The following is a 23790-nucleotide window of genomic DNA, read 5'->3' on the forward strand; positions in this document are numbered from 1 at the left end:
TCTGCCATGAATCCTATAGTGCCCATCTTGTGCCCAGTTTATAGGCAAGCATGTTGAGGTTTTGGTCAATCAAATGGCTAACCTGCAGTCACATCTCAGAAGTGGAGCAGAGCTGATACAAACCCCCTGGCATCAGTTCATTGCTCCTTCTTGAAGGACAGAATGGGAAAAGGTTTTTTTATGGGGGCGGGGGGGTTGCGGGGAGGGACAGAGTTTCGCTCTGTTGCCAGGCTGGAGTTCGGTGGTGCGATCTCGGCTCACTGCAACCTCTGCCTCCTAGGTTCAAGTGATTCTCCTGCGTCAGCCTACTGAGTAGCTGGGATTACAGGCATGCGCCATCACGCCCAGCTAATTTTTGTATTTTTAGTACAGATGGAGTTTCACCATGTTGGTGAGGCTGGTCTCGAACCCCCGACCTCGTGATCCGCCCGCCTCAGCCTCCCAAAGTGCTGGAATTACAAGCATGAGCCACTGCTCCCAGCTGGAAAAGGTTTTTTATAATAGATTTTGGATTGAAAATTCTTGTCAGAAATTTGGAAAGGGGGTGCAAAATCAAATGAGGAATTTATTTCATTGCCTTTTTTTTTCTTTTCCTTCCTTCTTTCCTTTCTTTCTCTCCTTTCTTTCTAACATAACCAATAAAACCTATTGTATGTACTATAAAAATCCAGCTGTCTGTTTTGTCTGTCTTCTAAAACCTTTCACCTTGTTTATTTTTTGGACCAAAATGTCTTTACTCAACCAGCTTTCCAAGCCAAGCAGGGTTTCAATTTTTTAAGAAGTAAATTTTAACAGGACAATATGGAAGCTCCGAAGAACAGTAGTCTACGAAAAACAAATCGTTTGTTTATTTGGCCATTTGTTTTAAGACAAAAGTAGAAACACTGGGCTGAACAGAGACAGGAGAGGCTTTGGGCAATTTCCTCTGAGACCATGAGACCGGGCAGGATGAAACGTGAATAGAAAACATGCCAGATGTATGCTGTGCAAATACAAACACAACTTTCTATCACACACTGATTTGGTCATCCCTTTTTCTTTTTCTCAGAAGCTGATGCCCCCATCACTCTATGGAGCTGGAGAATACCGTCATACGCAAAGTGATCCGAAAGGCCCCTTTGCGCCCAGCCAATCCTAACACACAAATCCCTTCCACCTCTCAGGGCTTGTGGTGCAGTTTCTCCCCCTGGAATTTTGTCTCAGCAGGTATCAGTACCACCAGTGTGCCAGAGAAGAATGCAGTCAGGATGGCAAGAAGTACAGTTTTACTTTCTCCCATTCTGTCTTTCCATTTAGCCTATTTTCTTGTCCCCCTCTTCCTCCCCTCCTTATTGCAAGATGTCTGGCACCAAGCGTCTGGCATGAAATCTTACGGATCTGCATTTTCTGCAGGGCTGTAACAACAGGTTTCAACTTGATTTGCCATCCCTGTGAAACGTGGAGTTTCATTTGTTTGCTTCCGAGGACAAGAAGGGCTGTAGCTCTTAGTGCTGAAAGGGGGTATCTTTATGTTGGATTGGATGTTTCTAAAGAGATGAATTTGACTGTCATGTATTATTTAAGAAAAGTATTTTTATTGTATTCTGTATTGTGAAAGCACATTCCACTTTTGCATGTCATTTCACTGCTTTGTTGTTTTAAAGTTACTATTGGCCTTGAGAATATCCACTGGCAGAAATTTGCACTTAGCGTTCTAAATAAAATGTTAGTCACAAAAAGATGGTGAGAATCATGTTACCTGGGCATCTGATTTTACAAGGTGGGGAAACCGAGTCTGGCAAAAAAGAAACGGTTTGCTCAAGGTCAGAGCTGGTTATGATAACACTGGAAGAATTCCCGAACTGGAGGGCCTCAGATCATTGGCATAATCCACATGGTCTTCAGGATTGATTCAATGTTCATTTTATTTTTTGCTGTAGCCATTCTTATGCACTTTTATACCACATCTTCGTATACTTAAAAACAGATGGCCCTTATATGTAATACTATCTCTCTGGACTCACACATATTATTAATATTTGATTATTTTGCAGAATTTTATAAAATGGTTTTCCTACTCTGACTGTTTTTAAATGACATCATATGCCTTTGGAGAATTTTGAATTGGAGGATATTATCGTTTTTTGGCCACTTCAAATATATTATGAGTTATATACAGGAAACTGATTTTAAAGAGTGATGGATGGATGGATGGATAGCGTGGATGAGTAAATAAATGAATACACAGGTATATATTTACATTTGCACACATACACACCATTTTAATAATAAATGTATTATTTTGTACAGAGACCTGATTGATAAATGCTACACGTGTACATCTCATTGAGCTCAAGGACAGAGCTTCCCCTCTCCTCACTGTCTGCAGTGCCTGGTCCAGGCAGGACCTGCCATCAAGTCAATGCTGAAAATGTTGGCCACACAAAAACATCTGCACCGTCGGAAGGAACAGAAGCTCCAGAACAATGCCTGGGCTTCAAGATCCAATGGAACTTTGTCAGTTGAACGCCAGTCTTGAATCCAGGTCTTCTTGCTTCCAAATGTGGTCCTCTGCTGTCTCATCAGCCTCTTGGGGCCTCACGCTGGGCTCCAGTTCGGGGTGTGAGGAGACGCCAAATGCTTCTCAGAATGGCCTATCTGGGATCTCGCCCAGTGCCTTTCTCCCTCCTCTTGCTATTTTTCGTGTCTTTTCTCTTCCCCCTCTCCCTGTGTCGGGCGTGTTTACTTGCAGCAGCCAGAAAGACCACCTTCCACCCGCCCTCTCTTCGGTTCAGCTGCACCTCTCTACTCCAATAAACCGTTTGCATTCCATCTGGTGAGCGTTTGCTCTGAAGACATTTCCTTGTCAATCTCTCCCGCCACATTAAAAATCTGTCATTACGATTGCATCGCCGCCTGGCTCCTGAGATTTCTGACTGCTTTATTGCTCTCCTCATTTTTTTCTCTTGCCTGCTACAGCCGAGAAGCAGAAATAAAGGTTTGTTGTTGAAACATGGCCGGGAGGAAAGTAGGAGGCACACATCTGTCAAGACATTACCTTTCTTCAACCAGGGATTAAGGTGTTTTACGGCACTCGCTACTGAGCAGTCACACTGAATAAATTTTCTCAGTAGAACATAAAAATGAACTCATACATTTTGAACCAAGTTTCTTCTTTCCAGCCAGCCCCGATCATTATGCAGTGGCACCCGCATACAGGGGCGCCAGCGAGTTAGGAAGTTTCTCAGACCCATCCCACCTCCCGCCAAAGCTGCATTATTTAAATGCCCGTTGAGGCGAAGGAAGCATCGGGATTAAGGGGAGATGGTGGCTGTGAACACTCAGGCTTCCTCAGCTTGTGGGAGAGAACAGAAAGATTTAAAAGAAACCTGGCCCCAGGTGTCCTCACTCAGGCCTGGCAATGCCCGATCTTGCTTTAAGAGCCGGATCAAATCCCTTTCTGTGGGGAGTGGCCCCTGGTTCCTCCACCATCCTGTCCCCTCCTCCCTGCCCTGTAGGAGCACTTATGTGACAACTGCCTGTTTCACAGCCCATCCTCCTACTTTCTTCTCTATCCCGGAACCTCATGCTTACAAGACTTTACAGTGGCTATTAAGAGCGATGTAACCATAATATTTTGGAGGGCTTTGTTTTGCATTCTAAACTTTGTACATGGATTAGCCCATTTAGACTTCCCAGCCACCCATTAAAGTAGGTCATTCTGCTCTCATCTTATAGATGAGGAAACTGGGATAGAAAGTCGTGTTAAGCACCTTGCAGAAAGTCAAAGAGCTAGCCAGGGACAGACCTAGGATTTGAACCCAGCATCAGAACCCCTACTTCTAAGACCAGCAGTCTGTTGTTAAGTGCTGTGCTATTCTGCCAAGGGCATAGGGCATGGGGACAGAGGAGTTTAGGAAAGGCTTTGAAACAACTTTCTGGCACAGCAGCGTCTTGGTAATGAGCAAAGGTGCCTGGGAGCGCTATCTTGTCCTGGTACCCTCTGCCCTGGGGGCTGCCACAGCCCCACCCAAAGTTACAGAGCAACAGGATTGGTGACCTGGGCTGATGCTGCATCTGAACTCCCTTTGTGACTTTCTCCACTATTTCTCTCTCTCTCTCTCTTTCACACACACACACACACACACACACACACATACACACAATGTCCTCTCCACCTTTCTGACTATGCTATTCTCTCTACCTGGAATCCTGAAATTCTCTCTATTATTTTTTTAAAGGTAGGGAAAACTATTCATCCTTCAAAACCTTTTACTTTCTGTGAAATCTTTCTTTACCCTTCAAGAATAAAATACAGACTCCCCACAACAACAACAACAAAAACAACACCCCGCGTGTCTTTTCTCATCCCTGAGTAATGGCACCCACCGAGTTGTATTATACAGGATCTGTTTTCAGGTCAGTCTCCCCGATAACCATCACAAAATTCAGCACCCCGATACACACTGAGCCCTTAGTAATCTTCATAATAACCCTAAGAGATAGCTCTGCTCTCATCTCTTAAACTGAAGACCTTCTGTTTAGCACCTCAATACCATTGTGTTCTCTGGATGGCCTAATGGAACCAGCAGTGCAGTGAGGTCTGGGAGCAAGACTTGGGGATCTGGAGATTGCCTGGAATTGAGGGCTGGAAGCTGGTTGTGGTTTCTATGGTTTCTAAGAGCTGCCCTTGAACCATGCATCCAGACACCCTCAAGGCAGGGCTTGCAGGAGGCACCTCCTTATCACCAGACCTAGGCTCAGGACCTGGCAGATAGTGCCCGCAGGGAAAGAAACTCTGCTTTGCTACCAGAAACCTACTTCTAAGACCAGGCTTGGTTTTCCTGGATGGCCTTGCTGCTTGCATTGCTTATAATGGTAAAAGTCTGAAAGCAGCCGGGATGTTCAGCTAAACAGGAATCCCTATGATAATCCAGTCATGCAAAAGAGCCCTATGCAATCGTGAAGAAAAATGAGGTCACTCTAAATGTGCTGATACAGAAGAGTTAACAAAATTAACTATTGTTAGCTGAATAAAAAGCAAGAGGCAGAACAGCGTATCACACAAAGAGACAAACATGCATGATAACATGTAGACTACTCCTGAAAGAATGAATAAAAACCAGTGGTCATCCCCAAAACAAAAAATAATTTTTCTTGTCTATCCATTTTATGTAGTTTGAATTTTTGGCAATGTGTAGGTCTTATTTGCAATAAAATATGAGTTAATTTTAGGTAAGTGCTTTATGAAATCCTAAGGACCACCCTGAAGCGCAAACAGCATCACTAGAGTGGATATGCCCAGCCATGGGTTTGTGAGAATTGGGGAACTCCAGCTCAGTGTAGACAGGCTGGGACACAAGTAAGGACTCACCCTCTTAGGCTGAGCTGGCCCTGGACTAAGGGACGCTTTGCTTATCTTCCTTGTGGCCTAGGCACTGAGCGAATGACCCATGTTCATTTTTGCTTCCCAGCTCCTGTCTATTCTGATCGGATAAACGGGCCAGTTGGCAGGACCATTGTGATTAACCTTGGCTGATCCCTGAGTGAATGATCTTCTGGATACAGGTGGTAGGCCTTGAGCTGATTTGCCACAAGGTAGAAGTCTCAATGTCCCTCATTACCCAACAAACCATTAGGCAGGGAATGACAATACCATGGCTCAGATTGTTTCCCGATAGCCGTCATGGCCTGTCTCCTACATAGAATAGCACGCATCTTGCTGTGAGTCAATCCCTTGCCCACTGGCTGCAAGTCATGTGAAATTCAATTAACTTTCTACAGGAGGAATAAAAGCAAGGAAGAAGCTGCCACACCTCGAGAGCCAACATGTTACTGAGCACTGTGGTCAATCAGTATTTTTATCAGATTAAATTAAACATTATCCCAATGACAAGTCCACATGGCGAGCGTTATCATCCGCATTCTACATACCCAGTTGCTGAGGCCCAGCTGCAAGGTGGTGTAGAGGACAGGATGGGGGAGCCTTTCCATTTGATCTGTCTGCTCCGTCTGTGAGGTGAGAGTGCGGGGGCTCTCAGTTTGAATATTGTCTCCACCAGGGTCAAGGGGGGCTACCTGGGGGATTATATCACTTCTCTATGCTTCAGTTGCCTCAGCTGTAATGTGCTGCTTACGCCACTGCGCTATTGTGAGGATGAAATGAGATACCGCTTAAAGGCCCATCGTGCTTGGCATACAGTAAATGCTCAATAAACCCTACTCATCATTATAATCCAACTTGCCAAAATGTTCTCCTTTTGGCTTTACTCCCCAATCAGAGTTCACACATGCAGAGATGTGGGCCCTTCCTTAAGTTTCCCTTTCTTCCTATCCCCACCCAATTTCTTCAAATTTGTTTTGTTAGTTAGATTTTTATTTTCTTGTGACCATTTTGTAAAACTGGTTTTGGAGTCCAAAATCCTGTCAACTTGAGCACATTAATCTGCAATCCCCATAAGGATGTGTAATGTGATTTATAGATGCATTTTCTTTAGCTTAACAATATCACGTTCACATTTCGGCCTCGACGGCCTTCATCACCTTGCCAAACTCTGGAATTTTATTGTTGGATCAAATAAACTGTGGTTATAAATCATTCCCAGATGTCAGCCTAATTATTTAGAATGCGTGGGGACCTGTTGGATGGAGTGCTTTGGCCACACACTCGCCGCGTGTTTCTGACAGCAGCTTCCTCCCCGCCTCGCCCTGAGAGCTCTCGGGGCTGGCTCTGAGGCACTGGCTTTCTGCCCCAACCCCAGGGCTTCCAGGCATTTCCTTTTTTATTTCTCAAAGATGTCCCCACCAATGCTGGTTTCCAGGAGTTGGGGTTTCCCATCAGATCCCTGACCCCCTTCCACAGAAAAGCAATTTGCTTCCCCATGATTTTTCACAGCCAACGTTGACAAACAAATGGGACACTTGTCAGGGCTACTTGCTGACCATGAGCAAAGAGGGGAGTGCAGGGCTTTGGGGTGGCAGGAGGGTGGGGCTAAGCTTTCGGAAACAGAAGCCCTCAGGGTCATCCTCTGGTCCTGCTGGCGGCACCACTTAGCAAGACTGAAGGGGAGGACAGAAAGGAGCCCTAGTTTTTTTTGGATCTTAAATGGAGATTTTCCAGAAAATTCATTCAGAGAAGGAGCACCGACTGTTCACAGCTCGAGCCACAATCCCCAAAAAATCAGCCTCTGCCTACGGTGCCTTCCTCCTTTCTTCCTGTCTTCCTCGTCTAGCTTTGCCTTTCATCACATGCCACCATGGAGGCTCCCACCTGCCTCTCCTCTCTCTACCGTTAGGGTGACTCTGCTGGAGAGGAGACTTCACTGTTAGGAAGGGGAGACCTAGGATGGGCTGGCCACACACGGGCCAGGGGCTGCACTGCCTACCGCATCTCTCCTCCCGTGGGGACTGTACAGGTGCTTTCTTTAAAAAGTGCCTTGATAAACCCTAATATTTTAAAATATTCACTTCTGTATCCAGGCCTCTCTCAAAGAGCGACTTTAAGGGTGGTTAATGTTTACAAATGCACGCTCTGCACAGTGGAGCAGTGGCCGTGCCCTTCTAGTTTCCCTGGCTCCATTATCAGGAGAGGAATCCCTTGCTGGAGAGCATCCCAGCTGTGCGGAGGTCCCAGCTGCTGATGTTGGCCTCTGCTGCCCTACCCCTCCTTCCGATCCAGGGCCCAGTGGCCTTCCTGCCGGAACTCGGCCTCCTGCCCCTGCCCTCCCACCAGTGTGCGCGGACATGCAGGTGTCTACCCTGAGCCTCCTCCCCCGTCACCTGGGTTGGTGTTTAGCCAGTTGACACCGTGGCTTGTGGTTTTGCTCCGCCAAAGCCTCCGCCACATGGAGCGTTCCAGGGCGAGCTATAAACGTGACCAGGCCACGAGCTCAGCTGTTGGCAAAGGGTGTGACCAACTGAAAGTGTTTCTTTGGAGCGGCTAAAACAGCAAGGTCTCCAGGGTGGGGGGAAATGGATGGTGACGGATTTTTCTACAGTTTCTTTGTGAGATTTTTTTTAGCTTCCACCCTCTCTATCAGATTAAAAATAATAATAATAATAAAATCCCAAAAAACGGGGAAAAATGCTGGAGATGAAATTGTTTGAGAGGCAGACCATTATAAAAAGAGAAAAAGAAATGGCTCAGGGTTTCAAAGACTTCTTACTGGCTTATCAGCAGGGAAACAGCTACTGCCCTGCGGCCTCATGGGAGAGCTTAGATGTGGGAACAAGTTGTGAACGTTACTGGATCATAGGGTGCCAGGAAGGTGTGAGGGGTTGGTATTAAGGCGCTAACAAAACATACAGAAGGTGGAGAACTTTAAAAGATGGGAGAGGGCCAACGAGTCCTACTTGGGTCTCCAGCAATGGCTCTAGGACACACCCTGTGCTCACCACACCAGGGAGTAGAAGCTGAAGATGCCTAGAGTTCAGTCAGAGACACCCAGAGTTCAGTCAGAGATGCTGAGGGTTCAGTCAGAAATGACCAGAGTTCAGACAGAGCTGCCCAGAATTCAGTCAGAGATGCCCAGAATTCAGTCAGAGGCAACCAGAGTTCAGTCTGAGAGTATCAGAGTTCAGTCAAAAACAACTAGAATTCAGTCAGAAATAACCAGAGTTCAATCACAGCTGCCCAGAGTTTAGTCAGAGACACCCAGAGTTCAGCCAGAGACAACCAGAGTTCAGTCAGAGATGCCCAGAGTTGTCAGAGATGCCCAGAGTTCAGTGAGCGATGACCAGGGTTCAGTGAGAGATGACCAAAGTTCAGTTAAAAAAAAAATCAGAATTTAGTCAAAAATGACCCAAGTTCAGTCAGAGCTGCCCAGAGTTTAGTCAGAGATGCCCAGAATTCAGTCAGAAATGACCAGAGTTCAGTCAGAGACACTCAGAGTTCAGTCAAAGGCTACCAGAATTCAGTCAAAAACAACTAGAATTCAGTCAGAAATGATCAGAGTGCAATCAGAGCTATCAGAGTTCAGCCAGAGATGCCCAAAATTCAGTCAGAGACAACTAGGGTTCAGTCTGAGATTATCAGAGTTCAGTCAAAAACAACTAGAATTCAGTCAGGAATAACCAGAGTTCAGTCAGAGCTGCCCAGAGTTCAGTCAGAGACACCCAGAGTTCATCCAGAGACAACCAAAGTTCAGTCAGAGCTGTCCAGAATGCAATCAGAGAAGGCCAGAATTCAGTCAGAGATGACAAGATTTCAGTCATAAATAGCTAGAGTTCAGTCAGAAATGACCAGAGTTCAGTCAGAGGCAGTTTAGTCAGAGATAGCCTGAGCTCAGTCAGAGACAACCAGAGTTCAGTCAGGGCTGCCCACAGTTCAGTCAGAGATGTCCTGAGTTCTGTCACTGAGCTTGAAATGACACACCATGCCCCCAACTCCCATTCTGGGAAAATGTCCATAGTCCAGGAAAAACACAATCTTCAAATTGAGGTTAAAGTTCAAAATGTCCTGTTAGTACAGCCCATCACTGAATGGACAAACTGCCTTAGAGAGCTCCTCATGTAATTTTGGGCTACCTCATGAATGTTTCTGTGGAGGAAAGATCACTAGTTTTGAGGTCAGACTGTCTTGGGTCAAAACCCAGCTTTGAAAGGTGCAGTTTCTGTGAACGTGGGAAAATTGGCAAATCTGTGCAGAAGTGGGGAAAGTAATGCTTCCCTGTAAGGACTGCTATGAGGGTGACATAAAGCTCCTCGAAGAGGCATCAGTGCAAATTAGGTCCTGAACCAGCGTGAATCCCTGAGCATCACACAGGTGGCGTTCTGGCCGTGGTCCAATGTGTAGGAGTTCCAGAATGGGTGCAGAAGGACAAGCAAAAGGATGGGAGGGTGAGCGGAAGACTGAAATAAATAGATCTCTGTGTCCTTTCCAAATTGCTGCTGTTTTTTTTTGTTTGTTTGTTTGTTTGTTTTCAAATTTTTCAGAATTTTTTATTGGAAAAAATTGAATAATTTTTTCTTGAAAGAATTTTCCCTTAGGGAAACTCAAATATTTTAAAGTCGAATTGGTGAGAAGCTAAACTCAAATCTCTCCTAAACCTAAACAAGTGAATTTTTTTTCTTATTTCTCTAAGTCTAATAGGCAATCAGCTATCTAACTGATTAGTTTATTGACCAGTTAAAAATATTATAGATTCAGTTTCCATTAAGAAACAAAATAAATTACAACCCAATGATGATCCCACTCAGTGTCAAACCCTGTATTATAATTTGAACCTGAGAGGTATTTCTTCTTTCTCCCTCAGATGTGGTGCTTTGTGAAAAGGTAAGATACCAGCCAGGCCACTTGGCAATGGCATGACATAAGGTTTGGAAGGATCTTTCCTAGTCATTGAGGTCTATTGTGTGGTCTGGGAGGCAGCACAGCTGACCTGGGGCAGAGACTCCTCAGCAGGGGCCACTGCCTCTCATTTGGTTCGTAGATCCCTCAGGCACTCCTCATGGGGAGTGAGAAGGTGCCCTAGGAAGTTCTTCCTGTCCCCCTCTGCCTCCTTTACTTGACACGTCTCAGGCAGAAAAATCGTATGCAAAAACATGGAAGTAGGACCCAACCTGTTGTACTCCAGAGAGAGAGAGTCCCTAGTCTGTTCCCAGCACTGCACTCCCGGCTCCACAGGCATCAATGCTTTATGGGCCTCACACCGGGAATCCCTCGCATGAGCACCTGGAGGGAGGTGCTTTCATTCTTCTCATTTTACTGATTTAAAACTTGGAGCTGAGAGGGAGGGAATAACTTATCCAAATGACAGTTCTTGAAGGCCTGCATCCCAAGATTAGCAAATGTGGATTTAGTAACCTTGGGATGGGAGCAGGAGTTAGAAGAATGAAAAAGCCATTACCCCTGATCCTGATTTCAAGGGGATCCCAGCCTGGGTCAGCTAGTTAAAACTCTTCTTTTCCATCAAGGAACATACGATGGATTCATCGACACAACAGGTATTTCTTGAGCACTGACTTGTCCCAATCACTGATCCAGACACAGGGGGCTGTGTGCCCCCAGGGACTGAGAGGACAGCTGCAAAGCCTGTGTTCTTCCCCATGAGCCACAGGGTCCCTTGTGTATGCAGAGAAACGCAGCAGCGCATTTGTACAATAAAAAGACCATTTTACAGAGTTGTCACTGGATATCTCTAATCTACTTAAAAATGTAAACTAAGTTCCCATACTTTAACTATGCCTGTGAACCATGTGTGGGATTCAGTGTGTGACCTGTGGGTTTGCTGTGATAGGTATTGGGGAAGGAACATAAACCAACCCATGCAATTCCCGGGGCTAACAACTAAGCCAGGGATGGCCACTCCAGGTGGCTTCCAAGGCAAGGTGTGATTAAAGATGGGTGCATGTCAGCCCTCGAAAAAAATGAGAACATCCAGATAGAGGAACTAGGACAAGCAAGAGGCAAGCTCTGTGTGGTGGGTGGCCGGTCAGGAGCAAGGGGACCCATGGTTGATTTAAACTGTTGAAGAAGAAACCCTGACTCAGGGAGTGGCCCAGGAAGTCCCTGGGACCTCTACAACCTTATATATGCCATGTTAAGGAAGTTGTCTGTGCTACATGGTTGCTCCCCCTTGGCCCTGTTGACATTTGGGGCTAGATCCTTCTTTGTGGGGGGCTGTCCTGTGCATTGTAGGGTGCTGAGCAGCAGCCCTGGCCTCTACCCACTAGATGCCAGTAGCAGTCCCTCCTCCAGTTGTGATAACGGAAAATATCTCCAGGCATTGTCAAATGTCCCCTGGGGGCAAAATCGCCCTGGGTTGAGAACATTGCTCTAGGCAAAAGGCTGTAAGCACACAGGGACAGCCTGTGACTAGAGGGGCCTCAGCAGGAAACAGCCCAGAGAAGTCACTTGGGGCCTGCCGCAGTGCTTCCAGCTCAGGGGCAATGCCTGGCACACAGTAGGTCCTCAGCAAACTGGTGCCAAGCCTCCGTTGTACAACAGGGCTGTTGCAAGATACTCAAAGGATCTAGGTGTCAAAATGCTCTGCACTGGGCAGGGCTAGGGCCCTGTCAGACCACCGTCCCTTGGCCTAGGAGGCCACAGTGGGCACCACCTCCGGCCAGGCCATGGTGGGTGGCTGTTTATCTGTGTGTCCACAGCTGCCTACCAGGCATATTAAAGGCCATGAAATAAGGATGAGGCCTAGGAGGGGTAATTAAAGCCACGGTGACATTGATCTGCTGAGATTTCTGAGAGAGCCCAGAGCACACAGGGTGATTCTCCATCTTACCTCATGCAGGCCCAGCCTGATTGGCCCCCTGGGCATTGCTGGGGCCAAGGAACCTCACCTGTGGCCGGGAGACTCCCAGGGCAGAGCCACGCTGGCTTTAGAGGCTGTGCAAAACAGGAGGCCTGGGCCTGGGGGGCAGCCCAGCTGCTGCGCTTTGCCCTGAGAAGGCAGGAGCAGGCCAATCTATTAAAGACACAGGTCCCCATTCTCAAAGGTCTCGAAAGTTAACCTCTTCCCCTCCTAGGCCCAGAGACTCAGCCAGGTAGAGAACCTGAAATGCTCCAGGGTCATGCCATCTGCAGGGCAAGTCCATCTTTGCACATTGGCCCAGATGCCCACAAAAAGGTTGCAGTCTGGATGCAAATTAAGTCAACAGTTAATTCTTGACCCTCTACCCTGAGCTAGGAAGGGTGCTTACTTATAAAAATAGGAACATGTAATATTTTCTTGCAATAATAGTCTTTGCAAAGATGGACTCTTTGATCAGAACAATAATTGCATTCTTACTGTTATAGTTACCGATCAGTGTTTCTTTGTGATCATTTTAGCTTCAGTTTTACAATTAGCATAATGAATGAAATTAATTAATGTATGTTCAGAGTCAGAAAGAACCAACACTGGCTTTGGTTTTACCCATGACTTGGGCAAATCATTTGAGCATATTGTGTCTTCATCTCTCTATTGATAAATAGAGATAAAAGTAATCAGTGCCATAGATTGGAAAGGATCAAATGAAATGATTGCAAAATCACGAGCTTAGGAATCCTTAGTTCATTTGCTCCCTAGCTATATGTTAGATTCTTTCTTATACTTAAGATTATTACCTCCTCACAGTCCTGTGAAGTGGTCATCAGCCACGCACTTTACAGATGAGAAAACTGAGGCAGCAAATCCTTTCTGAGCTGTGATTCCATATGAGGAGACTCCATACCCACCCCATCTCAGAGGGGATTACTGAGGAGCTCACGCTGCAGGAAGCCCAAGTTATTTTTTGTCTTCCAGCTGCTAAAATCAGACAAGTAGAAGGCAGGTGCCCTGCCTCAAAGCCTGCGATTGCCTTCCTTCCTGCCTGCCCATGAACTGGCATGCACTGTACTTCGTTACATCATTGCAGCTTCTGGTCTTCCTTTGTGAAAACCTGGCCTGTTTTTTGCCCTCTTCCTTCGCCACACTGGTGGGGGATGGGAGCTGCCCCTCTGATCTTTGCACTGTAAAGGAAGTAGCAGCAACCCTATCAGATGGGAGGAGGGAGAAGTTTTCTTGGGGCCTAGAAAAAAAAATAGCCTGTCTCCCACACAAGTGGGGCACCTGCGGTGAGATCGCCGGTCTAAATATAAAGAGATGCTTTTTTTTCTCATGAGCTGTCTTGAGTGGTGTGAAAGATTCTTCCAGAATTTTGGAGAAGACGTACCTAACTAAAGTCCTAGAAAAAGCCCTGTCTCCTGTGATTTCTACCTGACTCTACCCTCTGTGTTTCTAAAGAGGGTGGTGCATGAGCTTTAATAGTGGAGAGCTGTGCACTGGCTGGAGGGTGGGAAATGCACATCTGAACACTGCTTCACATTAAATGCACTGCATTGCAAAGACCCTGATTAGAGAAAGGCTTGGAGAAATAAGTTACCAATTGTTGAATGCCCACGGTCTATGCGTCTGCTTACTTAATGTAGGTTTAATGTGAGTGCCATGAAGCCTCTTCTGGGTAATAGCAATCTTAGGCAACATTAGGGAACACTTACTGTGCATCGGTCCCTGGGCTGATCTTTTATTCCGGCCAAGGGGCCTCCCTAAGAAGAGTTTAGGATGACTGCTATGCACATTGAGGTTGGGTGACACACCCATGAGGGCATCACCCCAAATTAAACCTGGCCAGGCTGACAGCAGTCTGCCCTCAACAACTTGGTTGAAGAATGTTCTCTGCTTTCCATGCATGCCCTACTTGTGAACAACACCTAATTGATAAAGTGAAACTGTGTGTGGTTCTTGGTTGCCATATGTGTGGTCCACCTATGGAAAAGAAGAAAGACCTTCTCTTGAGACTTATTCTGTTCCAGCCTATAATCTTATAGTCATGATTCCAAAGAAGTTTTGCAAAACCAAAAGTAGTTTTTATCATTAATCTGGTGGTAAAACCTGACCTGAACTGATAGAACTAATATAAGGCTATTTATAGTCTTTATTTTTCTCATGTAATGTAAACAGTCATTTATTTCACTGCAAAAATGTTGTGTTCTATCCCTAAGTGCTGTCCTAGACTCCTCTGCAAGATGCTCTACGATATGTAATTATGAGACATATTATTTTAAATGTACCAAATTCTGATTTCTAAATTACATGTGGTTTCAAAGGTTTCTGAAAACAGATCGTGGGCCTGCAAACCAAATCTGTAGTCCCACTTTGAAGGTGTATCCTGTAGACACCCTTGGATAGTGGCAATTATAGGGGTCAGAGAGATCGATCAACCTCAACCCTAATTCTCGTTTATGAAACTAAAGTCTGTGGCATCCTCGGCCAAACTGGAACTCATTAGAGCCTCAGGTTGCCCAGTTACAAAGAGGAAAACAGCACCAGCTTCCTTGCAAGGTTTCTGTGAGATTATATACTTAAAGGTTATTCATGTATTGGCCATTGGGACACTCTAAGGTTGTCCATATTTGCAGATGTTCTTTGTAATGAATTTCAGAGTCAAGCACAAAGATGTAGTAAAATTTTCACCTCTTCCAAATTTGCTGTCCTGTGCTTGGAGTAGGACATGGCCCCTGGGAGCTTGGGGCTGGGGAGGAGGTAACAGCCCATGAAGACCTGCCTAGGTCAGGGCAATTAGCAGGAGCCACCAAGACCTTCTCAGTATTAATTAGCTGTCCCTGCCCTGGTGCTACAGAGGATTTCCAGGCCTCTGGAGAGCCCTCAGGGATGTTGCCACTCACAAAAGAGCTCAGCTCTGACCATAAGAGCTGAGTAAATAGGATGAAGCTTGGCTTCCAAAGGGCCAGGGGCTGATGCAAGAAGTATCTCTCTGTGCGCAGGTGAGAGGCAGACTCTGGAAGGATGAAGTGCGGACAGTGGGTGGAAGGACTGGGGCCTGGTACCTGCATGCTCAGCCTCCCTGTTTCCACTCTGATGTGGCTAGTCTTTCTCCTCTCTGTTTCTTCCTTTTTTTTTTTTTTTTTTTTTTTGGTTTCTGCTCTGATCTCTCTGTTTCTCTCCTGCATTGGGCCTCTCTCTAACCTGCTTCCTTCTACATGTCTCTGTCTACGACCTTGCGGTTTGGTCCCTGTCGGTCTCTCTCTAGGCCTTTCTCCCTGTCTCTGTGGCTGTCTCTTCTCACATGCATACTCCAGGGCATTCTACCCTCAGAGCATAAAGCTTAAGTCATGTGGCGGCTGATGGTCCCTACTCTTCCACTGAGCCCATGGTTCTCTCCAAAGAGAAGGTGATTCATAGAGCACAGGATAGCTGGCATTTTCTGGGTGACAGTTCTATTATATTTCAAACAGAAATATTTATTCAACAGATATTTATGGAGCACCTATCACCTGCCAGACACTGTGGATGCAATAGTGAACAAGAGAGGAAGTCTTTGCTCTAATGGTGGGCTGGGGAAAGGCATTATATAGAGACGTAAATGAGACCCGGCATTTCAGGAGGTGATAAGTGCTCTGAAGAAAAATAAAGGCAGATGATGGGATAGAAAATGCTGGGGGCAGGGGAGAATGATCACTGACAAGGGAGCTTTGAGGTGTCCTGAGCGAAGTGACAAAGTGTGTTGCTAACCAGGAAAGAGCTTCCCAGACAGAGGAAAAGAGAAAGTGCAAAGACCCTGCGGCAGAAACCTGCTGGGTGTATTTAAAGATTAGCCAAGAGTACGCAAGATGATAGAATAAAGGGCCAGAGAAGCTTAATATTTTCCCATTTGATCTTTGCAATCTTTCTTCTAGAGAGAGGTCATTAGCCAAATGTGGATCAGAAAATAGAAATTGTTGGACACAAATCACAGAAATTTCAAGTTAGTTACTAAGGTGAGATTCTAACGAAAACCTACAAAGAACAAACTGCCTTCCACAAGGCTTTACTAGAGCTGGGGGACTTAGAATGAAGCTGTAAGCAGCAGCCAGCTATTAGGATCTTATTCAAATGGAGTGGCATAGGGACAGAGCAACTGTCCCAGCCTCCAAAGTCAGGAACAGCTACCACAAGTGATAATCCTGAAAACTCTGGCTTCTAGGAGGAGGCGAGAAACAGCATGAGGATAGGTTGAAATCTGAACCCCAAAACAATTGACCACTCACAACTAAGGAAACTGGGGCTCAGAGATGTCAAGCATTTCATCCAAGGCCCACAGCCTGTGAGCAGTGAGATCTAAATTCAAATCCTTCCCCTTCACCTTGTTGCATGGTACTAGCGTACAAGTGTAAAATGAGATTGAAAAATTCAAGCAAAAGGATGCCAGAGAAAAATACCATTTTTCTCCTAGTATTTGAAACACGCCTTTAATTTGGGTTGAATGGATTTGTGAACCATCAGCAACAGCATTTCATTGACAAAGACTATTTTCCACCAAGAAAAAAAGAGGGTTATTATTTTAACCTCCCACCTCATTCATTTTCTAAAAAGAGTGAAACGTGATTTTGAAAGAAGAATTACATACATTGATATCACATGAGTGGGAAGCAGAAGCCGTCAATGAATCATCTCCTTTCTACAACTCTCAAATCAATCCAGACACATGTCAGGTTGATGTCCATGGTGTGGGACCATTTCCCTGATTGGATCTTCACTTAAGGTGTGTTGGCATAAGGGAGAGAGGAGAGTCTCTGGCACCTTCACCTTCAATATACAGTGAACATCCACGATAAACTCAGTCATAGAAACATTCATTCACTAATTTATTATTTTATTCTTTCTCTTCCTTCCACTTTTGCTCATTAAACAATGTACTGTGTACCTACTGGGTGTTGAGTCCCCTGCTGCCTATGGAGCATCCAAAGACCAACAAACTACAGTCTCTGCATTTTATTAAATTGGGTTTATTTATGAGAAACAAGGCTGGGTTCCTTTCCTTAGGGAACTCACATTCTAGTGGCAGCTGGACAACTGAAGACACTAGAATCCAGCCTGAGGTAAGGGTCAAGTCAAAGGTAGGATGGGAGGAGTCAAGGCTCTGTACCAGGGACCTGAAGACATGAGTGGAGAAAAGGTTCTACTTGCCCCCAGACCTCAGTGGGCTGCCTTGGGGTGCAGGGGTACAGCCTTGGTCTGTGGGGCTCAGGGGGGTCGGAGCAGGACAGAGAGCCCAGATGACAGAGCATAGTGTTTGTCAGAGGGGATGCAAGAAAGGACACATGCATTGCTCTTTGCATGGAAATATTGATTATTTGAGACTCTGAAACCCAGACTGAGTCACATCCTCTGGTAGGAAAGCCCCTGCCCCAGTCCCTCTCTGGGGTTCAGCCAAAACACTGGAAACAGATGAGGGGCCCCAGCACAGTGATCACACTTGCCAGGATTTTTGTTCTGACCAGGTGTGCCCCATACAGATTGTTGAAGTTGTATTCTGACTCTTGGGGCTTTCTAAAGACTTGAAAACCAGATTCACCTACAGGTGAGACTGCTACGGAGTATACGGATCACAGTAACAAATTGCTGTGCGAAGATCAGGAGAATGGTCAGGTTCTGGTCTCTAGTGTCCAGTTAGATAAGAGGCTTTGGGCAAATTACATAACCATTCTAAGTCCAATCTTAGTTCTCCATGAATAGAGGACCATTACTCACTCCACCTAAGTGCTATTAAAAATGAGTCGGGCTATGTTCAAACAATTTGTAGTCTGTCATATATAAATATGAAAAAGTAGCATCATCTTAAGAATTTATTGACATAGTCACACCTAATATATATGTTCATGAGCATAAATAATATTTGGATATCTATATGTAGTATTCTATATGCCGGTATATGCAATTGGATTTAAAATGGGTCTTAAAGTACTATTTTAACTCTCATAGCTTTCTGATGGCCCCGGAATCAAATTAGTCAAAGGCCATGATTGCCACAGCGAAAGATAATTTTAGGAATGATAAGAATTGCAATACCAGTTAGTACCGGCTTGTTAATGAAACTTCAAAGTTGAAACCAAAGTGGGATCTGCAGATTGCCCCAGAGAAAAAGTCCTGTGGTTCTGCAAATCTTCTTTCTGTCTTTAATGAATGCTTAACCTCCCTGCACTTGAACTTGGGCATCATGGCCAGTAGTCAATTTTCACTCTAGTTCATGTATTTTTTTTTTCCTTTTAATCCTGAAAATCTGTAGCCATGTCGTCAACTCCTTCTTAATTATACCATATTCTTTACATCTGTCCTGCTAAATAACTCTAATTGAAATAGCACCGGCGTGAATTTTTGTAATGTTCCCCCCAAGACATCCCGAAAGTGACTCACGAGAAAACAGACTGAAGTCACAGCTGGAAGCACGTCAAGGATCATTTCCATTTTTACATGATTAATTTGAATTTAATATCTTAAATCAAAACCTGATTAATTTAAATAAAATTTTGATGGTGCCCTGCTTCTAATATACATTGCAGTAATTAGATTCGGCTTAATGTGGGTTTTTTTACATAATTAAAAAAAGGAAGAAGTGAAGTGTAACAATGCAATGTTGATACAAATCTGTCTAAATATATATAGGGGACTGCGGTTCTGGACATTAGGTAAAGAGAGGATAGCTAATTGAAAGGACTTTAGTGAGCTGAGAATAAGCGTGACTATTCTGGGCTCATCCCATATCTATAGCAAAACATCTGATTCTATGATCAAAAGCAGAAAAACTTTTTGTTCCAAGCAAGTGATACCCACAGTGGGCCCTAACACCAAGAAGCAAAGCATGGACTTGATGCTATCTTCAAGCGCAAAGGGTCATTACTCCACTTGTCAGACATGGATAGAGGCCCCCCTATGTCCATTGGTCCCGGACAGAGCAGGTGCCGACATTGCAGACTGACATAAGCATCAGCTCCAGTCAAGCAGGGACACTGTATGGACTGTTGCCAGCCCCCATCTTTGAAGACATAGCCTCTGGGCCATCCCCAGAGGAGCTTGATTTGCACAACCTGCCCCTCTTGAGAAAACGAAATGAATCTGGGTTACCAACTTTCCCCCAAATCTAGACTTCTGTTTAGCCCAATTCCAGTTGGCCTAGATGCATATACTATGAGGTCCCCTAGAAATAAACGTGCGTATCCAGACATCATGACTGAGTGATCATATTCCAAAGAGATCTAGCCCAAAGTTCTTATTTTATAATCAAAAGGAAGCAACCTGATCAAAAGAGTCCACCCACTTACAAACACAGATTCTGAACAATTTTTTTCTAAACCAAGTCTTGACCCTAATTTGCCAAGTGACCCTAGACAAGAATGTCAACCACTATGGAAACTACTTGTCCGTGAGGAACTCACTCCACCAACCCCAGTCTAGAGAAGGAAGGCTCAGAGATCCTTCCTGAACCAGAGACCTGAGGTTGCTGAGCTGAGCAGTATACCAGATTTCTCAGGTGGGCGCATCTGATGGAAGGGTCCCGAGTGGCTTCAGCCAAAGCCACTGTTCTCAGTGAGCTCCAGGGCCCATTCTTCACTAGCTTAGGATGTTTATGGACTTCTGTGAAACTCAGAACCAATGATGGTGAAGGAGGCGCATGACTTGATGACAGAGCAGAACACAGATAGAGACCGACACCTTTATTTTACATTCCATGTTTAAATGAGGTCATGCAGTTTTCGTCTTTCTGGGTCTGGCTTATTTCACTTAGTATAATGTCCTCCATGTTCCAGGCCCCTCCACATTGTCTAACCACACACACATGCACACAGGAATTGTAACTATGGGAAGTGATAGATGTGTTAATTAGCTTGATTGTGGTGATTATTTCACAGGCATACATATACTGAATCATCGAGTCATACTCTTTCGATGTAAGCAATACAATTTTTAAAAAGAGCCCAGTGTCTCTTACTTTCATTTATTACTTATTAATTTAGTTTGTTTGTTTTGTTTTGTTTTAAGACAGAGTCTTGCTCTGTCACTCAGGCTGGAATGCAGTGGTGCGATCTCAGCTCACCGCAACCTCTGCCTCCAGAGTTCAAGCGATCCTCCTGCCTCAGCCTCCAGAGTAGCTGGAATTACAGCCACCCACCACCACGCCCGGCAAATTTTTGTATTTTTAGTAGAGATGGGGTTTTGCCATGTTGGCTAGACTGGTCTCAAACTCCTGACCTCAAGTAATCTGCCTGCCTCAGCCTCCCAAAGTGCTGGGATTACAGGTGTGAGCCATCACACCTGACCTATTTATTAAATTTTAATTAAAATTAAAATTTTATTAAATTAAAGGAACCTTTGGAATCGCCTGAGGAAAACAATTACATACTGCTGTATACACATGTACACAGAATAGTTTGCTTGTAATGGTAACAATTGCTATTATTTTCCCAACTTAAATGTAAAATTTCCTCCAAATTAATCAAAGATATTTATCAGCTGCCTTCTATATGCATAATATTATGTACAGAGTAGTCTACACTCAGGTCTTCATAATTTAGAAACTGCAAAATAATGCTCTATACTGTAAAACTGCTCATACCACAGAGACTTATTACATTTCCCTTCTTCCTTCTTTCCTCTCTCCTCTTCTTCTGCTGTCCTTCCTTTCCTTACTCCCTCCCTTCCTTTCCTCTTTCCTTCCTCACTCCCTTGATCTTTTCCTTCTTTCCTTCTTCCTTCATTTATTTCTTCCAACAATGCAGTGCCCTAAATGCTCTTCCCTGAACGTTTGTCCAGGCGCTGTACTCTCCACAGGGCTTCAAAAAAGAGAGAAATTAACACAGGGCGTGCGTGTCTCTGAGGCTGAGGACACAGGGGCCTGGGAGGGTCATTGAGGAAGACACTCACCAACATTTCTGTCTAATTTTAACTGGCCAAGTTTCACATTCAGTTCAGTTTCTATCATTTAATTTTTCCTCAAAGGGTTTGATTTCAGTCCTCCACTGCGAGTTTTAGCCAGGAGCATGACTTTTGAGAGTCATTTAGAACACAGCTGTGCCTTGTAGCACAAAAGGGAGTGGAATCTTGATCTCACACGCATTTGCACAGCTTAGTGTATGTAAGGGAGACGGTTTAGTCATTTGCTTTGAGCCAAAATGGACAGAACACACTTGAAAGTCACTTTCAGACTTCCCTGCGGATTCCCTGTGGCATCTGCACTATCGAGTTACTGTAGCTGTCTACACTACTACTAATAATTATTATAATTATAACTGTTTCCAAATCCTGACACCTACATATGTTGCATGCTGTGCTCACAATTTCCACACAACATCCCTGTGTAATGTACATTGTTCAAACCATTTTATAGACTTGGAAACTGAGCCTCCTGGAAATAAACAACATCACTGGGTTCCTATACTAGTTGGAACCAGAATCCAAGCTCAGCCTTGTGTACCCCTTGTTGGGCAGCTGGGCCAGGCCCCCTCTGTCAATCCAGGTACACAGATAAATGGCCAATCCCTTTGCTGGGGCCCAGAACACACTGACTCCTCTGCAAATGTTCACCTTTGAAAGGGCTTTGGTGAAGATCAGCCAGCCTGTGCCTCACCAGCCTGGGCATCTTCTGACGCATCAGTTGACAGAGAAAAAGAACTCAAATAAGGAATTCAAGGAAATCACTGATTTATTATTTATCACAAATGGCCTAACACAATGACTTTCTAATCTGACAGCTGGGACTTTTGATGGCAATCAACAATTTAATTTATTTCTAAATTTAGATTTTTCCTTTTTCTGCATCAAACACCAAAGCTGGCTAAAAATAGTCACACAGTGAATGTTAGAGGGGAGAATTTTACCTCTTATGTTTCTTTCTTTCTTTTTTTTTAATGTCAAAGTTAAAGTCAAAACAAAATTAATCAGGAGGGGTTATCTATAATGAATCACCATGCAGCTCAGGAGGAAAGGGTCTAGGGGGAAGATATCTTTGCCAGCAGCCAAAGGAATGTTCTTTCAAAGAGTCACATTAGACTATAAGCTCCATGAGAAAGATTGCAGATCTTCCATATTCAGCAGCATGAATCAAAACTCTTCAGCTCTAGTCTAACTTTCTTTTTTTATTATATAGCAGTGGGGGTTGGGGTTTGTATGGGCTGTGATTTAAATGGTTAATTGAAAGGAAGCCGTGGTGAGCTGTTTCTGGCTACAATATTACGCTACAATCTTATCTGAGCTTACAGAGTTATTTCCAATTTGTAAATGCTGTATGCATTTCTACCAGATAAAACACTTAAAAATCCCAGACCTGAGTAAAGTGACCCTGCTGTTCTAGAGCCTTCCTCACCTGCCCTTTTCTGCCTCTCTACCTCCTCCTGTTCTGATGCCCCCCACCGCAACCCCCACCCCACTCCTCCTCTTTCCTGTCTCTGCTGGGAAGTCAGGTCACTACTCAAGCCTCCCCCTTAGGCAAATAAACTTAGTCATAAAGTGGTGGAATGAAGTGTAGTCTTGCCTGTAAGACTCATTGGACAGAGGAGAAAACTGAGGGTCAGAGAGGGCCAGTGACTCACTGAGGTCTTGTAATGAGAGAGTAACATTGTTGGGACCAGAATTCAGGCTCTGTCCCTCCTAAGTCCAAAGTCCTTTGGGTGGCATAGAAATCCCCAGAGAAATTGCCCGCCATGACATTCAATAAGAGGTTACATAAATTACATGTTGGAGAACCAGGCCCATTCGCCCCAGTTTCCTGGCTACATCAATGTGATTTCACAATTCCAGGAAATCCTTGCTTGGGAAGAAAAAAGTTGTAAACACCTTTATTATTTATTCTACAAACTTCCAAGAAAACCCATGTAAAAGAACAACAAGCTATTCTAACTCTTCAATAAGTAGTGGTAAACTTGGAGTTTACACCCCACAACTCTTTGAAAATTTTCACCTCAAAATCTTCACCTTGCTACACCCACGACCAATCTTTAACTATTATCTCTGGACCCACTTTGATTCCTAATGAGAGAATCATACTGTAAGGCCCGCCTCAAACCAGCCACTAGAATTTCATCAATATCCAGTAAGACTCTAAGATCGTGCTTTCTGTGAGAGTCACTTGGTGTTGTCTTGTGGACAGGTTGTGTTTGAGGAGCTGGCATTCGACATGGGTAGAATATGGCACCATGTATGTGTAGTGATGAAAGGATGAAAGGTCTGGATGATGAGCAACAGGAGAACTGCCAAGATGCAGCAGGAGGAAGTCTCCATAAAGCGGGCAGTCTCACTTCCAGAGCCACGCCCTAAGTCCTGACAGAGGGCAGACATGGCAGCTCTGGTAGAGAGAGGCGGTCCTTGCCCTCAGGGGCTCACAGCTCAGTGGTCCCTAGGACTCTTCAACACACAGCAGTAATGCCTCATGCCACATGGGGCATTTGTGAAGAGGGAGATGGTAGACCCAGAGGAGGGGTAGGTAAATTCTTCCTGTTAGATTGGTAAATGCTCTTTGTCAGGTGATTTGACCCAACGAGGAGCATCTAGAATGAGAAGCTGGGAA

At 44.8% G+C, this 23790-nt stretch overlaps 2 long non-coding RNA genes across 2 annotated transcripts in view; one reads left to right on the forward strand and one right to left on the reverse strand.

Annotated features, from left to right (window-relative positions):
- LOC105370655 (uncharacterized) overlaps window positions 1-6008 on the reverse strand; it is a 102277-nt gene extending 96269 nt beyond the window's left edge. The window contains exon 1 of the long non-coding RNA XR_001750876.2: window positions 5914-6008. This is a non-coding gene — a long non-coding RNA (uncharacterized LOC105370655). The remainder of the gene's footprint in view (window positions 1-5913) is intronic.
- The window catches only part of LINC02295 (long intergenic non-protein coding RNA 2295), a 30747-nt gene extending 24170 nt beyond the window's left edge, over window positions 1-6577 (forward strand). Inside the window, exon 3 of the long non-coding RNA NR_184268.1 lies at window positions 2290-6577. This is a non-coding gene — a long non-coding RNA (long intergenic non-protein coding RNA 2295). The remainder of the gene's footprint in view (window positions 1-2289) is intronic.
- The last annotated feature ends 17213 nt before the right edge of the window (window positions 6578-23790 follow it).

The sequence above is a fragment of the Homo sapiens genome, chromosome 14, assembly GCF_000001405.40.
Source record: "Homo sapiens chromosome 14, GRCh38.p14 Primary Assembly".
Classification (NCBI taxonomy): Eukaryota; Metazoa; Chordata; class Mammalia; order Primates; family Hominidae; genus Homo; species Homo sapiens.